The following is a 17,887-nucleotide window of genomic DNA, read 5'->3' as shown; positions in this document are numbered from 1 at the left end:
GATTCTTATGCCTCAGCCTGCTGAGTAGCTAGGATTACAGGCGTGCACCACCATGCCTGGCTAATTTTTGTATCTTTAATAGAGACGGGGTTTTGTCATGTTGGCCAGGCTGGTCTCAAACTCCTGGCCTCAAGTGATCCACCCACTTTGGCCTCCCAAAGTGCTGGGATTACAAGTGTGAGCTACCATACTTGGCCTGATTTTTTTTTTCTTTTTAAAAATAAGAGATCTACTCCAGCCTTAATTTTAGTGCATAAATCCATATACCTATACTATTTATAATAGGAAGTTATGTAGAATCATCTAAATTTTTTTTATTGTACAGATTGCCACAGCATAGGAATTCATGACTTTAAACTTACTCAAAATTTCTTCTAGAGAACAAAGATAAAACTCAAAACTGTAGAATAAAAAAAAACCTCTTCAAAAATTAGTACTTTACATCATAAAAGACTGTTTGGCAAGCCCAAGATAAACGTTTGTTTTTGACTTATAAGCCAATGTTAGGCCCATAATCTACCATAGGTCAAATCTCAAAACGGCAAATTGGAGTCTGTCCAAATTTTCTGTTGTATTGAATATTTTTGAAATATTTGAACTATTAGCCAGGACGTGAGCATTTTTGTCATACACGGATTTGTTGTAACTAAATTTGACACACGCACCGTCAAAGTGTTTGTTTAGTCCTTGCAGGTGTTCATGGCATATTGAAAGAGATATTCAGTCTTCCTGGTGCTGGTACCTGAAGAGTTCTGATGTCATTTGGATCTCTTTACTTTTGAATGGAAGTTTACAAAAAGCTTACCCAGAGCTTCAAGTCACAGAGCAGTCTGGGTCAGTTATTACCCTTACACATAATCACCTTTCAAAGCATGAAGTAATACAAGGGTAATGTTCATTTGTCTGAAAGCTCTGGTTATAAGAAACATTCAGACAGGGCTTAACTTCTGCTACTATTGCCAGTGAGGGACAGCCCAATACCAGTGCGCATGTGCCCAAGGCCCTGAACACTAGTTTGGAAGCCAGGAGGACACATCTGTAGCTTGTAAGATGAGGCGTGCATAGTAGATACCATCTGCTAACAACAGCTTGGTTGATGTAGGATGGCGATACAGCGGTGAGGTCTATGTGACTGTTTGACATGCTGAGGTTGCTGAAAGTGAACTGGCTGTGAGGGCTGGGAGACTGTCTAGAACACACTTAGTTGTGCCATTTGAGGTCCTGCTTGTCCTCTCTTTGCTTCTTTCACATCATTATCATGAGCAGTCAATAGCTGTTCAGTACACGGCACTAAGAAATACCAGGAGTAAGCAGTAAGATGATGTAATGATGTAGTCTTGTAGGCCATGTTGGAGAAAGACGAAGTATAATCCTCGAAGAAGCCATACATGTAGCAGCTACAGAAGAAAGTGCATAATTTAGAAAGGGGTAATTTTGCAACAGTACTTCCAGGAAATCTGCATATTTGGCTGTGTAGTGTTTAATCTTTTCCAGGCAAATCGTTGGCCAGCCATCGTGAAGATCTGTTTTGTGTACTACTTCAGAGAGAACAAATTCAATGAAATGGGCAGCTGTTGGAAGGCGGAGGTCCATTCCACTGATAGGTTTCTAATGATAAGAGTTACACATGTAGCAAATTTTGTTTTGTTAATACTACATTCATATTAGTCATAACACCTAGGCTGTTGAGCTGTTCCAGCTTAGGCACACTATCTTCTTTTTCTTCAGATTTACTTGCTAGAAGCAGATGGGAAACTGCAGCTAAATACAGCTGCTAGATAGAGATGTCATAGCAATCCATAAATAGTTCTAGTAAATAGCAAGATGCTGGTGTAGAAAGAGCGTGACGTGATCGCTCACAATGGCAGTCAAGTCAGCAAAATACTGGCTGAGACTCAGTTGAGGGGACTGGCCTTTGTATGAGGGCAACTTCAGCTCTTTGTACCAAGTGCTCGGTGAATATTGGCAGCCAGCTCTCCTCGCCATCACTGCTTCTCCAGCTCCCTGGGACCCTGAGGTGCATGCAGCCAGACACGACAACTACAGTCCCGCCCCGAGGCCCTCACAGCCTCAGTCCCCTTGGCGTCGGCCCCACTGGTGCTGCAGACAGTTGGCTGCGAAGCACCAGTCTCAGCTCTGGCCAAGCTCCCCCCATTGTTAAAGGACTGGCAGGCGGCTCCCAATTCTGTGATTAATTTCAGTACGTAGGTCCTTGCTTATTTGAGTATTGGGACAGATTTCTGAGTCAGCCCATCGACATGTATCATGGATACTTCCAAATAGTCGTTCTAAACAGCTGTATGAATGAATGTATTCAGCAATAATGTCTTTAAAAATACTAATTTCCTTTAGACAAATCATTAGTTTTTTTGTTTTTGGGTTTTTTGGTTTGTTCGTTTTGTTTTTAAGACGGAATCTTGCTGTGTCGCCCAGGCTGGAGTGCAGTGGTGTGATCTTGGCTCACTGCAATATCTGCCTCCTGGGTTCAAGTGATTCTCCTGCTTCAGCCTCCTGAATAGCTGGGACTACAGGTGTGTGCCACCCACGTCCGGCTAATTTTTATATTTTTTAGTGGAGACGGGGTTTCAACATGTTGGCCAGGCTGGTCTTGAACTCCTGACCTGTAGTGATCCACCCACCTCAGCCTCTCAAAGTGCTAGGATTTCAGGCGTGAGCCACTACAGCTGGCCCAAAGCATCAGTTTTTTATAATGAATATTTCAGATGCAAAAAAAAAAAAAAAAAAAAACCTATGTTCACATCACCCACCTTAAGAAATAAACATTATAAATGTACTTGTAAACATAATCCCCATCTTCTTTAAGATATAACATTATACTTACATGTATGTTTATAAACAGTATATCATATAAACATGCCCTTTTACATTTTCATTATTGCCCAACTTTGTGTGTTGAACATAATATGTCACATGAGGTCATTAGCCTCCAGGATGGCTGTCAGTGGTCTCCACTTCCTTATATTTATGCTGTTATGCGCTTTCTTCCCATGTTGAATAGGGCTGACTTGTGTAACCAATTGAATATTACAAAAATATCAGAGTGACTTATGAAGCTAAATCATGTAAGCATTTTCTGTCTTGCTTTCTTGTTCTGGGGGAAGCCAGTTGCCACAAGGTGAAGATACTCAGCAGTCTTATGGAAAGGTCCACATGGTGAGAAACTGAGGACTTTTGCCAATAACTATATGAGGGAGCCATCTTTGAAGCAGCTCTTCCAGCCCCAGTCAAGCCTTCAGATGACAGCAGCACTAGCCAAGATCTTGTCTGCAAGCTCATGAGAGGCCATGAGCCAGAATCGCCCAGCTAAACTGTACTGCAGTTTCTGACATACAGAAACTGGGAGATAATAAATATTTAATGTATTAAGCTACTAGGTTTGGTAGTAATGGATGAGAGAAAGAGACTTGTAATTGTTTCCATGTTTGCCTCCCCATACTTCATTACTGGTGAGCAATTTGAAGACAGGACAGGAACCATATGTCTTACTTATTTTCCCACTCAATGCCTAGCCTTATGCCTATGTTTAGTAAGTATTTGTTGAGTGAAATTGATAGTATTCTGGTGGAAGTAAAAAATTTAGAAGGGATATTAAATCCCTAAAGCTGAGATAGCCTGATGTTTGAATCATGAGTCATTGTTGGATAGCATGTAAAGACCACATTGTTTCTTCTGAATAGTAGTTAAAGTAAGCCTCTCAGCTACTAATGCTACCCTGGCTATGGGAGTATGGCATTGATTTTGAAGTTATGGCATGTGGCTTTTACTTTACTATTCTCTGGGGCTTGGGTTAGGATACAATCTTTCCTAGATGACTTTCATTTCAGACTTCCTTCTAGGCATATTAACTGAAGCTAAATTTTTTCCTTTTTCTTTTTCAAAATATGGAAGAATGTAAAAAACCTAAAGTCCTGTCAGTTTAGGATTTTGCTGGTATATGTAGCAAGAGACAGTACTTAACTATATCCTAGTGGATTGTTTTTATAGATTATGGAGAGACAGTATTACTACAGAGGATTATATCTAATTATATTCAGAAAATATATTCCAAAATTAGATTCCAAAATTAGGTGTAATTTTGAGTCACACATTTGGTACTTTTTAGTTCTTGTAACCTGTGTTGTTTAATATGGAGGCCCCTAGCTACATGTGATGAGTGAGCTCTTGAACTGTGACTAGTCTGAATTGAGATGTGGTGTACATGTAAAATTCATACTGAATTTCAGACTTAATATTAAAGAAAGAATGTAAAATATTACACTAATAATTTCTTCATATTCCTTATCTATTGAAATAATGTTTTGAGTATATTGGGTTAAAAAATATAATTTCATTTGTTTTACTTGTTTTTACTTTTTAGAATATAGCTACTAGAGAATCTTAACTGATATGGCTTGCATTTGTGGCTTGCCTTATATTTCTATTAGAGAGTGCTTTTCTATTGATTGATTGATTGGTTGATTGACTGTTTGATTGAGATGAAGTCTCACTGTGTAGCCTAGGCTAGTCTTGAACTCCTGGGCTCAAGTGATCCTCCTGCCTTGGCCTTCCAAGGTGCTGAGATCACAGGCCTGAGCCATGTCGACTGGATGAGAGTGGTTTTTAACCCATCAAAATATTCAGTTCTTCAGGGCCTTTGTACATTTTCCTTCTTTTTTTTTTTTTGCCTGACTCTTTGTTTATCTGGCTTCTTCCTGCTCATTTCATAGATCTTATCTTAAACGTTGCCTCCTCAGAAAGGCAGTCCTTATCCACCCTATCAAATTAAGTTCTTTAGTGTTTTGCCCTCATGTCATGTATCCTTCTCTGCATTTATTTATTCACTATTTGTCTGACTTCTTAACTAGCTCTGTGAGGGAAAGGACCATGTCTATTTTGTTTATGACGACACTTTTAGCACCCAATAAAGTGTTCTTTTAGAAAGTAGATTCTAAATAAATTCTTGTTCAGTGAGTGATACTGGTATTACTAAGCAGTGGGCTCACTGCTTGATGCTCATAGAACCCAATACTATGACACCGGCTTTTGAGAAAAGAAAAAGGGCTTTATTGTGAGCTGACTGGCAAGGAGACAGGAGTTTCAGAAAGAAAATATGGAGGAGGATGTCATAAAAGAAATTAGGAAAACAGGGCTGTGCTGCACCGCTGCCCCTCGTCATGCTCAGGTCGACTCCCCGCTCCCCACAAAGAAGGAAAAGTTCCCAGAACTGAACAACCTGCTGTGCTTAGCACTCCGATTGGTCCTTTTCTAAATTAAAAGGGCCCATTGGAGTGCTAAGCACAACAGGTGAAAAAAATATCTGTATTAAGACGTTTCATTAGGCTGGGTGCAGTGAGTGGCTCACGCCTGTAATCCCAGCACTTTGGGAGGTCGAGGCGGGCAAATCACTTGAGGCCAGGAGTTCGAGACCAGCCTGGCCAACATGGTGAAACCCTGTCTCTACTAAAAATACAAAAAGTAGCCAGGCGTGGTGGCACGTGCCTGTAATTCCAGGTACTCAGGAGGCTGAGGCAGGAGAATTGCTTGAACCCAAGAGGCGGAGGCTGTAGTGAGCTGAGATTGTGCCACTGTACTCTAGCCTGGGCAACAGAGCGAGATTCCGTCATTTTATTGAATTTTCACAACTAAGGGGCTAAGGAGAAGATAGAGAAGTTCCCAGAGGTAAAGGAAAAATGGGTTAGTTAATAAAATTAGAGTAGTTACAGGCTCTTCAACAAGAATACTGGAAGCAAAAGACAATAGAGGGCAATATCTTAAGTATAAGGGAAAATTATTATTTTTTTAAGACAGGGTGTCTCTCTGTCGCCCAGGCTTGAGTGCAGTGGCGTGATCTTGGCTCACTGCTACCTCCGCCCCCTGGGTTCAAGCAACTCTCCTGCCTCAGCCTCCCAAGTAGTTGTAATTATTATAGGCGTGCACCACCATGCCCGGCTAATTTTTTGTGTTTTTAGTAGAGATGGGGTTTCACCATGTTGCCTAGGCTGGTTTCGAACTCCTGAGCCAGATGATCCACCCACCTTGGCTTCCCAAAGTGCTGAGATTACAGACGGGAGCCACTGTGCCCGGTTGGGAAAATTATTTGTAATCTAAGAGTTTATAGTGCAGTCATTTTCAAGTGTAACAGTAGAAAAAGCATTTTCACATATGCAGTGTCTCAAACTCACCTCTCATGCAACCCCTTTCAGGAAGGTAGTAGAGGAGGTACTCCACCAAAATAAGAGTGTTTTGAGCAAAGGGAAGACATAGTGTTTAGGAAACAAATGATCCAACCCAAGTGAGGTGAAAGGAATACCTGGGATCACAGTTGTGTACCAGGTGTAGAGCAACTAGTCCAGAATGGAGCAAGTCAGAAGGTTGCAGAAAGGACTTGTACAAAAATATAAGATTGATAGCACATGTGATATGCTCGAATATGTTGAGGAGATTTATATAATTGGATGAATTGGGGGTGAATTTATAAGTACAAATAAAGCTAAACAATTAGACATTTATTAACTCCAGGGAAAGTAAAAAATTGGTCCAAGAAAGTAAAAGTAATCACAGTATACCTCATAGAACAACTGTGACTAAAGTTACATAGTCATGTTAATGCATACACTGAATATTGGTGTAACCAAAAATATGTTTTTTATTTATTTTTATTTTTTTTGAGAGGGAGTCTTGTTCTGTCGCTCAGGCTACAGTGCAGTGGTGCGATCTTGGCTCATTGCCAGCTCTGCCTCCCGGGTTCATGCCATTCTCCTGCCTCAGCCTCCTGAGTAGCTGGGACTACAGGTGCCCGCCACCATGCCTGGCTAATTTTTTGTATTTTTAGTAGAAACGGGGTTTTACCGTGTTAGCCAGGATGGTCTCGATCTCCTGACCTCATGATCCGCCCGCCTCGGCCTCCCAAAGTGCTGGGATTACAGGCGTGAGCCACCGCACCCGGCCCAAAAATATGTTTTAATTACATAGGGATAATGGAATGTATGAAGTGTTTGTATGTTATGGTGGGCAAGGTTGATGATATGGATGATGGGGAAAGAACTAATTGACCTTTTTCACAGGAAGAAGTCAACAGATAAAATATTACTTTTTTTTTTCTGGTCATAACCTCATGTAAGTGGTAAAAATTAAAAGTAAGGGGAAAAAGGCAACGGGGTAGACATTTATTATAGCCAAAGGAGGGTCAGGAATTCTACTTCTGGATCTGGGGATGATAGGAAAGTTCAAAAATTATTTGCAAAATTTTGTTCATATGTGCATGAATTTCTCAAAGGAGTTTGTGACCCCTAAAATGTCTAAAGAGTATAGTGTAGTGTGATGATTGTGGTGTTTTTCAGCGTGTTCGTGAAAGTGTTAGTTTTAGTTTTGATTCTTGATTTATTTTTATGTTTTCATGTATTCATTATCTTGTTATATGAAAGATGACTTAGTTTGGTAAAGCAAATACCATTTTTTATTTGGTTTTGTATTAAAATAAACCTCTTAAGTATTGATTTGTATCTGTGCTGCCTTCTGAGTTAATGTCTTCGGCTCTTCTAGTTCATTGATTTTCTGTTTATGTCTGTTTAATTCTCTATCCCTCTGTCTTCCCCACATCTCACCTCCCTTTTTTTCCTATTTCATTTATTAAATTTTTTATTTCTATAAGTTCCACTTGGATACTTCAAAAATTTGCATGATCTTTGTTTGTATCCTATTCCTTGCTCATTTAAAAAATTCTTTTATTGCTTTAAGCATTTTAAAAGTAGTTATATATTCTGTATTTGATAATTCCAATAGTTGAAGTGCTTGTGGGTCTAATTCTATGCTCAGCTGTCATTTATTGAGTTTTGTCTCTTGTGTGAGTTATATTTTTGAGTGGTGAGCTTATTTTCATCTGTGTCAACTTTGGTGGCTTGATTGAGCATTTTAAGAGACTTAGAGAGCAGTTATGTGAACATGAATTAGTATGGATATTTGGAAATCTGAGGCTGTGGGCCCCCTTTTAGCAGGATGTAGATTATGTGTGATAAGGTTGGATCTACATTTTAGTGACTCTTCGAATGCTTGGCAAAGTACATTATTTTATAACACTTTCTGTGCTCTAAATGGGGAGGGAGTTTTTCCTTGTCTGAAGTTAGCATGATTTGGCTAATTAAGTGAATACTCATATTCAGTAGTTAGTACTCTCCTGCTTAACTAGGTGTATATATTTATTTACATATATTTATAGATACTATATATATATGTAGAAATTACCCTTTATTCCACAGAGACATTTATTGAGCATCTGGTTTATGATAGACAAGGTCTTTGATACTGGGGATATAGAGGTATTCAAGGCAGTCTCTCCTGTTGGAAAATTAAATAGTAGATGAAACTGAACTTTGTATATATTATTAAAGATGTGCTAGAGTATCCATATTAAAAGCTTCTGAATGCCCAGGCTTATATGTTCATATTGTAGAATGGTTGCCTTTTAAGAAGTTAAAAATTAGGAGCTCCAGCTGAAGGAGGAGGTTAAGTAAGGAGAGCTCTATACCATGGCTGGTACAAAGCTAACTGCCAGCAGATGCACCAGTGGTAAAACACCCAGGAAGCAACTGGCTACAAAAGCTGCTTGCAAGAGTGTGCCCTCTACTGGAGGAGTGAAGAAGCCTTATCATCATGACTATAATACAATTTATTTGTCCTATCTCCTATCTATTTGGCTATTAAGAATAAAGTAGCTATGAAGGTTTTCTTTTTCTTTTTTTTTTTTTTTTTTTGAGACAGAGTTTCGCTCTTGTTGCCCAGGCTAGAGTGCAATGGCACGATCTCGGCTCACCGCAACCTCTGCCTCCCAGGTTCAAGTGATTCTCCTGCCTCAGCCTCCCAAGTAGCTGGGATTACACATATACGCCACCACGCCCAGCTAATTTTTGTATTTTTAGTAGAGATGGGGTTTCTTCTGTTGGTCAGGCTGGTGTCAAACTCCCGACCTCAGGTGATCTGCCCGCATCGGCCTCCCAGAGTGCTGGGATTACAACCATGAGCCACCGTGACTGGCCAATATGTATTTATATTTTCTTAGTGTACTTGTACCTACTCATAGCACACTATAGACAAGTGAAAAGATGTTTTTTTCTCAATTATTTGAAGCCTCTGTCTCCCCAAAATAAAAATAAGTCTGGTATGCTGTCTTTACTGATACTCTATACTTTTAGTTTCTTGGTTTTATTTCAAGCACTGTTAAATATTTTAATTTTGTTTTGTGGGATAATGTGATATTGTTCCAGTTACTGTAGCGGTGTAACAAACCACCATGAAACTTAATGGCTTCAAATAATCATTTTAGTATGTGCTTAGATTCTGTGGGTCAGGAATTTAGACAGAGGATTATGAAGAGGACTTGTCTCTGCTTCACGTCTTTGGTCTCAGCTGGGAAGACTTAGAGTCTGGGGCTGACTCTTCACTTAGGGCCTAGAATCAGTTGGGGGTATGTTCACATTTGTGCCTGGTGGTTGAGGCTGGAACCTCAGCTGGACTGTTAGTGAGAATGCCTGTACTCTCCATGTGGTCTCTGCGTGGGCTAGTTTGGGCTTCTTGAAAGCATGGTAGCCAGATTCCAAGAGTTAAGCTCAGTAATAACTTTTGGTACCCACTTTTGGTTGAAGCAGTCAGCGAGCTTTGCTTGGGCTCAAGGGGAGGGGATGTGGACTTCACCACTCTATGGGAAGATGTGAGATAGGAAATGTGGCCGTGTTACAGATTGGATTGTGTCCTTCAAAAAGATATGTTGAAGTCCAGCTATCACAGTACCCTTGTACCTCAGAATGTGACTTTATTTGGAAACAGGGTTGTTGTAAATGTAATTAGGGAAGATACAGTCACTGGAGGGGAGAATGTCATGTGATCATGGAGGCTGAGATCCAAGTGCTTGAAGTGCTGCAACTGCAAACCAAGAAATGCTGGTCATTACTGGCAAACCACCCAAAGCTAGGAAGAGGCAAGGGAAGATTCTCCCTACAAGTTTTAGAGGGAGAATGACCCTGCTGACAACTTGGTTTTGGACTTCTAGCCTCCAGAACTGTGAGACAATACATTTCTGGGTGGTTTTTTTTTTTGTTTTTTTTTTTGGTGAGATGGAGTCTGGCTCTGTCACCCAGGCTGGAGTGCAGTGGCGTGATCTCAGCTCACTGCAACCTCCGCCTTCCGGGTTCAAACAATTCTCCTGTCTCAGCCTCTCAAGTAGCTGGGACTACAGGCACCCAACATCACTCCCGGCTAATTTTTGTATTTTTGGTAGAGACGGAGTTTTGTCATATTGGCCAGGCTAGTCTCAAACTCCTGATCTCAAGTGATCCACCTACCTCGGCCTCCCACAGTGCTGGGATTACAGGCATGAGCCACCACACCCGGCTTATTTCTGTTGTTTTAAGCCACCCAGTTTGTGGTACTTTGTAACAGCAGTACTAGGAAACTAAGATAACAATTAGTTTTCTTGCTGCATCTGCAGGGGATTGGTTCCAAGATCACTGCCCTCATACTACCATGGATGCTTAAATCCCATATATAAAATAGTGCAGTATTTGTATATAATATACACACATCTTCCTGTATACTTTAAAATCATTTCTAGATTACTTATGATACCTAATACAATGTAAATGCTGTGTAAGTAGTTGTTATACAGTACTGTTTTAAAAAAAATCTGTATTATTTTTAATTGTATTATTATATTTTGAATATTTGTGATGCATGGTTGGTTCAGAACCTGCGGATGTGGAACCTGTGGACTATATAGGCCATCTTTGGGAAATACAGACTTTTACAAATGTGTCATAAAAATTATTCTATAGCTTTTCCCCCGTTACTTGTATTGGGTAACAATATATAATAATATATGGTTGTTTTGCTCACTTATACTTCTTTTTTAAAAAAACTTTTTTTTTTTTTTTGAACCAGAGTCTTGCTCTGTTGCCCAGGCTGGAGAGCAGTGGTATGATCACAGTTCACTGCAGCCTTGACCTCAGGCTCAAGTGATCCTCCCGCCTTAGCATCCCAAGTAGCTGGGATCACAGACACACGCCACCATGCCTGGCTAATTTTCTTTTTAATTTTTTGTAGAGACAGGGTCTCGCTCTATTGCCCAGGCTGATCTTGAACTGCTGGACACAAGCAGTCCTTCTGCCTTGGCCTCCTGGGCTCAAGTCATCCTCCCACCTCAGCCTCCCAAGTAGGTGAGACTACAGGCATGCACCACTACACCCGGCTAATTTTTGTATTTTTAGTGGAGACAGGGTTTCACCATGTTGGCCAGACTGATCTCGAGCTCCTGACCTCAAGTGATCCACCCACCTCGGCCTCCCAGAGTGCTGGGATTTCAGGCGTGAGCCACTGTGCCCAGCCAGTACAGTACTTTAAAAGTTATTTTTAGTGTGTATAGCTGCAAAGGGAATTTTGAATAGGAGATACCTTCATTGAAATGTGCTATTTAACAATCAAAATTAATCAAAAGTCATTGAGAAAGTATTGAGTACTCACTGGTAAAAAGGAAAGGCCTTAGACACATTAAATTTAACAGAGTTTAATTGAGCAAAGAACGATTCACAACTCGGACAGCCTTCAGAACCAGAATAAGTTCAGAGAACTCTGACCTGCAATGTGGTCAAGCAGCATTTTTGGACAGAAAACAGAAGCGAGGTAAAGAGACAGCTCTTTTGGTTACAGCTTGGCATTTGCTTTATTAGAACATGGGTTCAATGTTGGCTGCCTAAAGCTTGGTTGCTGTGATTGATTGAGACTCAGCTATTTATTACGTAAGTATACTGTACACCCAACTTAGGCTTTCAGTTAGTTTGCCAACTAAGTTAGGTTGCTCTTTGTTATGTAAGGACTCAAGGACATGGGCATCCTTAGGCCAAGTTTAGTTTAACACTATTCACCAATTTTGTTTTCAGGTCATCAAGAAGATTCATGAAGAGTAATGAATGGTCTGTCTTTGACCTACAGGAATATATATGAAATAATGTTTTTGTTTTATTTTTCAGACAAGCTCTCATTCTGTTGCCCAGGCTAGAGTGCAGTGGCATAATCATGGCTCACTGCAGCTTTATGCTCCTGGGCTCAAGTGATCCTCCACCTCGGCCTCACAAGTGCCTCTACTACAGGTCTGTGCCACCACACCCAGCTAATTTTTTTTGTAGAGATGAGGTCTCATTATGTTGCCCAGGCTGGTCTTGAATTCTTGATCTCAAGTGATCCTCCTGCCTCTGCCTCCCAAAGTGTTGGGATTATAGGCCTGAGCCACCATATGTGGCCTGTTTTTCTTTCTTAAGGTACTGAGAGGCAGTAGTACATCTAATGGTTTATAATATAACAGTGTAAGCATAATATGGCACATATAGCACTGTGGAGATGAGGTGATAATGTATGTGAAAGTACTCAGTGAATATTATCATTATTAATGAATGTCACAATATTTAATATAAACAAGAAGTACCATAGAAGTGAAGAGAAACATGACACAGAGCACACAAACACCTTAAAGAATGAGTACTGTTGGCAACTGAGCAGCATTTCTCAGAATTTGTTTTGCAGTAAAGAGTGAAAAAGGCTGGGTGGGTGGTCCACGCCTGTCATCTCAGCACTTTTGGAGCCTGAGGCAGGTGGATCGCTTGAGCCCCAGGAGTTTGAGACCAGCCTGGGCAACATGGTGAAACCCTGTCTCTACCAAAAAAAAAAAAAAAAAAAATTAGCCTGGCATGGTAGTTGTGTGCCTGTGGTCCCAGCTACTCAGGAGGCTGAGGTGGGAGGATTGCTTGAGCTTGGGAGGTTGAGACTGCAACAAGCCATGATTGCACCACTGCACTCCAGCCTGGGTGACAAGACTCTGTCTCAAAAAAGAGAAAAACGATTCCTGACTAGTCAAGTTTGGAAAGTAAATTCCTCTACCTTCTACTTTTGACAGTGTATAATAATGCCTGAGAATTGCTGTAATAAAAAAAATTTTACTTACGGACTTCAGCTTTTAATGATGTGATTCACTACATAGCTTGGAAAAACTCTTCCTCTATAAAGCACCTCAAAATGCAAACATCCTTTTAAATGCAAAGTTGTATTTTCAAGAATGTAAGAGAAATGCCCCTTCTCCAAAAACAGAGCCACTCTAGAAACCACCAGATTGTCTTCAAGTCTGCCGTCCTCTGTGTGTGTGTGTGTGTGTGTGTGTGTGTGTGTGTGTGTGTGTGTGAGAGAGAGAGAGAGATATTTGGCATAATTATATTAATTTCAAACAAAGCAAACTTAAGAAGGAGAATTATCAGGGATAAAGACAGGCATTACATAATGATAAATGGGTCCGTTCTCAAAGAAGACAAAATAGTCTGTGAGGCAAAAACCAATAGCAGTGTAAGGAGTAATAGACAAATTCACTATTATAGTTGGATGCCTCAACACCTCTCAGTAATTTATAGTGTAGCAGACAGAAAATCAGTTAGGCTATAGCTGAATAGCACCATTTATCAACTGGATTTAATTGATATATATAGACTGCTTCATCCAACAACAGCAAAAAACACATTTTTCTCAAACTCATATGGAACATTCGCCAAGATTAACCACATTCTGGGACATAAAACACATCTTAACTTGTATTCTCAGACCACGGTGGAATTAAGTTAGAGATCACTAACAATTATCTATACAACTTGTGTTGTATAGTTAGAAAGATATTTGGAAAATCTGAAAATACTTGGGAATTAAAAAACACACTTCTAAGTAACACATGAGTTGAAGTCTCAAACTAAAAATATTTTGAACTGAAGGAAAATGAAAAGCAGCAAAAGCAGTGCTTAGAGTTTGATTTATATTGAATCATATAGTAGAAAAAAAGATTCAAAAATCAGTGATTAAGCTTCTACTTTAGGGAACTAGATAGAAGAGCAATATAAACCTAAAGCAAGCAGAATAAAATAAATAATAAAAATTAGTAGAAATCAGTGAAATAGAAAACAGGAAAACAATTACAAAATTAATGAAAGAAAAACTGTTTCTTTTAAAAGGCATTGAAAGTGACGGACCTCTAGCCAGGGTAACAAGAACAAAAGAGAGAAGACACAAATTACTAATGTCAAGAATGAAAGGGGTAATTTTTTCCCCCAGATTTCATTGTGATAAAGTATTCATAACAAAATTTACAGTTTTAACCATTTTAAGTCTATAATTAAGTATATTCATATTGTTGTACAACCACCATCACCATCATCTCTATAATTTTTTCATCTTTCCAAAGAAACTCTGTGGCCACTAATCAATAACTCCCTATTTCCTCTTCCCATGGCAACCACCATTTTACTTTCTGTCTCTGTGGATTTGACTATCTCATAAAAGTGGAATCACACAATATTTGTCATTTTATGGCTGGCTTTTTTCACTTCGTATAATGTCCTCAGGGTGTGTTCATGTTGTGGTATGTCAGAATTTCCTTCCCTTTTTTTTTTGAGACGGAGTCTTGCTCTGTCGCCAGGCTGGAGTGCAGTGGCACGATCTTGATGCACTGCAACCTCCGCCTCCTGGGTTCAAGCGATTCTCTTGCCTCAACCTCCCAAGTAGCTGGGATTACAGGCGCTCGCCACCGTGCCCAGCTAATTTTTGTATTTTTAGTAGACACGGGGTTTTGCCATGTTGGCCAAACTGGTCTCGAACTCCTGACCTCAGGTGATCCGCCCACCTCAGCCTCCCAAAGTGCTGGGATTACAGGCGTGAGCCATCACGCTTGGCCCTCCTTCCTTTTTAAGGCTGAATAATAGTCCATTGTATAGAGATAGCACATTTTGTTTATCCATTAATCCATTGATGTACACTTGGTTGTTTATCCCTTTTGGCTATTGTGAATAATGCTGCTATGAATATGGGTATATAAATGTCTAAGTCCTTGTTTCAGTTCTTTGGATAAATACCCAGAAGTGGAATTGCTGGATCTTATAATTCTGTGTTAAATTTTTTGAGGAACTGCCATACTGTTTTCGACAGCAGCTGTGCCATTTATATTTCCATTAACAATGTCAACACTTGTTATTTTCCTTTTTGATAATAGCCATCAAAATGTGTGTGAAATGATATCTCATTGTGGTTTTGATTTGCATTTTATTTAATTTTAATTTAATTTTTTTTTTTGTGAGACAGAGTTTTGGTCTTGTCGCCCAGGCTGGAGTGCAATGGCACTGTCTCGGCTCACTGCAACCTCCACCTCCTGCGTTCAAGCGATTCTCCTGCCTCAGCCTCCTGAGTAGCTGAGATTACAGGGACCCGCCACCACACCCAGCTAATTTTTGTATTTTTAGTAGAGATGGGGTTTCTCCATGTTGGCCAGGCTGGTCTCGAACTCCTGACCTCAGGTGATCCACCTGCTTCAGCCTCCCGAAGTGCTGGGATTACAGGCATGAGCTACCATGCCTGGCTGATTTGCATTTTATTAATGATTGGTGATGTTAGCTGGGCACAGTGGCTCGTGCCTATAGTACCAGCTACTCAGGAGGCTGAAGCAGGAGGATTGCTTGAGGCCAGGAGTTCAAGACCAGCCTGGGCAATATAGCAAGACCTCATCTCTTAAAAAAATTAGTAATGTTGAACGTATTTTCAAAAGCCCCTGTGATTATTGGCCATTTATATATCTTCTTTGGGGAAATGTCTGTTCAAATCCTTTGCTCATCTTTTAATCAGATTATTTGTTTTTTTTTGTGTTATTAATTTGTAGGAGTTCTTTATATATTCTAGATATTAAACCCATACAGCTATATGATTTGCAAATATTTGCTTTCATTTTTCTGGGTTATTTTTACTCTGTTGATACACAAAAGTTTTTAATTTTGATGGAGTCCAATTTATCTTTTTTTTCCTTTTGTTGCCTGTGCTTTTTGTGTTAGTCTAAGGAATCATTGCCAAATCATTGTCATGAAGTTTTTCCCTTACGTTTTCTTCTAAGTTTTATAGTTTTAGTTCTATTATTTAGGTCTTCAATCCATTGTGATTTAAGAGGTCTTTTAAATGAGCTGAATCTTTGATTTCTTATCTCTAAAATGGAGACATTACCTACTTTATAGAATTATGAATGAGCACTAAAATGAGTTAATATGAAATAATGTGAAAAGTCCTAAAAAATAAAATACTGAGTTGTCAGATCAGCCTTTATATTATAAAACAAGCTAACTCCACAGTGACAAAGAATAACCCCATCAGCCCAGTTTTCTGAATTGTACCAGTTTTTTTTTCTTTTTAAAATAAAATCAAATGAAGTTACTGTCTGTTTGAAGGCCCTTTTCGAAAATAGAGTTTGTTATGTAATAATATCCTGACTATCCTTTTGGAATCTGCAGGCTTTAGGAATTAGTCTGATTCAAGAAATCTCAAAAATAAAGGTCATTGTGGTAGGAATGGGAATATTTTGCAGCTCTTATTTCTGTATCTCTCAGATACTCCTCAACTTACTATAATCTGGTTTCTGCCTTCTTTTGGTGAAATGGACTCACTGAAGTCATTAGTGACCACATCCATTGCCAACCTTTGGTCTTGCTCATTCTTGATAGTGGTTAAGAGCAAGGAATCTCCAACCAGATTGCCTGTGTTTGACTTTTATTAGCTTTGTGACCTTATGTAAGTTGTATAGCATTTTTGTGTCATCATTTCTTCACTTGTAAAATGTGGAAAATAGTAATACCTACTTTATAGCATTTCAATAATTAAATAGATTTAATACATATAAAGTGTTTACAACAGTACCTGGTGCGATTTAAATGCTGAAAAAGTGTTTGCGGATATATTCCCCTCCTTTTTGAAACTTTGTTTCCAAACCTCTGGCACCATACAGTGGGAGTTGCATGGAATCTACGTAGAGTTTAGGTAGCGCAGAAGGCTGGTCAAAATTTCATATCAGAGTCCCTAAAAACCATACCATGTGGAAACTGTTATACTGGCTTTCAGTACTAAGTCTAAGACTGCCATACAATTAACAAAGATACTGAAGGGAGTGATAGGGATACTATTTTAGATACTTTTCCATATGACTATAAGAAATACAGGAATAATGACAGGGTAAGGTACTATCTTTAATTATAGCAGTCTCCATGCTTTGCATAGTGACTTACACAGAATACTCAGTAAATATTAGTTGATTTTATACATACATGTATACAGACACACACATACACACATATGTATATCTGACATAGTAAAAGTGAGCCCAATAAAAAATAAAACCAAAATCTTGACCTGTGTGTCTTTGGTCCACTCATCTCGAGGAAGGAACATGAGATGTCTGGTTGGCAGTCCCTCATAATGGCCAGTTTTGTGAGAATCAAAGAGTGTAAGAAAATTGTCAAGAGACAAGAAACCAGAAAAGAAAAGAAAAAGCGGAGATAAAAATGAGTGTAACACAGATTAGAGGGGTGGGGATAAACAGCAGGTACTTTGGAGAAGCTAATAAGAGACGGAAAATAAAGCAGTTTTGCATTGTGGTGTGGTGGTGGAAAAGTCTCTTAGTCCTCAATAGCCCTTGAAAGTGTTTGAGCTTCTGTGTTAAAAGCTACTTGTCTCTGGTTCCTGTACTTTTTGAAGGAAGATTGTAAAATGATAATAGATAGTGAAATGTTTATATAAGCAAGCTGTATGTACACTAATGGTAACTATATTTTAAAATCATCTCATGTGTTCATTCAGTAAACAGATATGAAAAAGTATTAGGAAATATTCCCTGGCTCTAAGGAAGGGTAAAAAGATAGAACTGCAAAATGATTGGTGAATCTTTGTGACATCTGTATATAGCTGAAGTCCTGACATTATGAAATGTGTTCTGCCGCACTGCCCCTTTTTTTTTTTTTTAAAGGTAACTTGACTTTTGACATTTAAAGATCTGTTGGGTTTTTGA

General features: G+C 39.3%; 1 protein-coding gene and 2 pseudogenes across 25 annotated transcripts in view; 2 read left to right on the top strand and 1 right to left on the bottom strand.

Annotated features, from left to right (window-relative positions):
* EVI5 (ecotropic viral integration site 5) overlaps positions 1 to 17,887 on the top strand; it is a 283,715-nt gene that overhangs the window by 34,594 nt on the left and 231,234 nt on the right. Inside the window, exon 1 of one of the 25 annotated variants that reach the window (XM_017002274.1) lies at positions 6,759 to 6,792. The exons of 23 other annotated variants lie outside the window; for them this stretch is intronic. The gene's annotated coding sequence lies outside the window, so the exon portion shown is untranslated. Of the gene's footprint in view, positions 1 to 6,758; positions 6,793 to 12,112; positions 12,135 to 17,887 lie in introns of those variants that run through there. One more of the 25 variants, XM_017002275.1, reaches the window with a different exon arrangement.
* CCNJP2 (cyclin J pseudogene 2) lies at positions 564 to 2,146 on the bottom strand (annotated as a pseudogene).
* H3P3 (H3 histone pseudogene 3) lies at positions 8,487 to 8,642 on the top strand (annotated as a pseudogene).

This window comes from Homo sapiens, chromosome 1 (assembly GCF_000001405.40).
Source record: "Homo sapiens chromosome 1, GRCh38.p14 Primary Assembly".
NCBI classification, from domain to species: domain Eukaryota; kingdom Metazoa; phylum Chordata; class Mammalia; order Primates; family Hominidae; genus Homo; species Homo sapiens.
The sequence above is the reverse complement of the archived record's forward strand: the minus strand, read 5'-3'. Positions and strand labels throughout refer to the sequence as shown.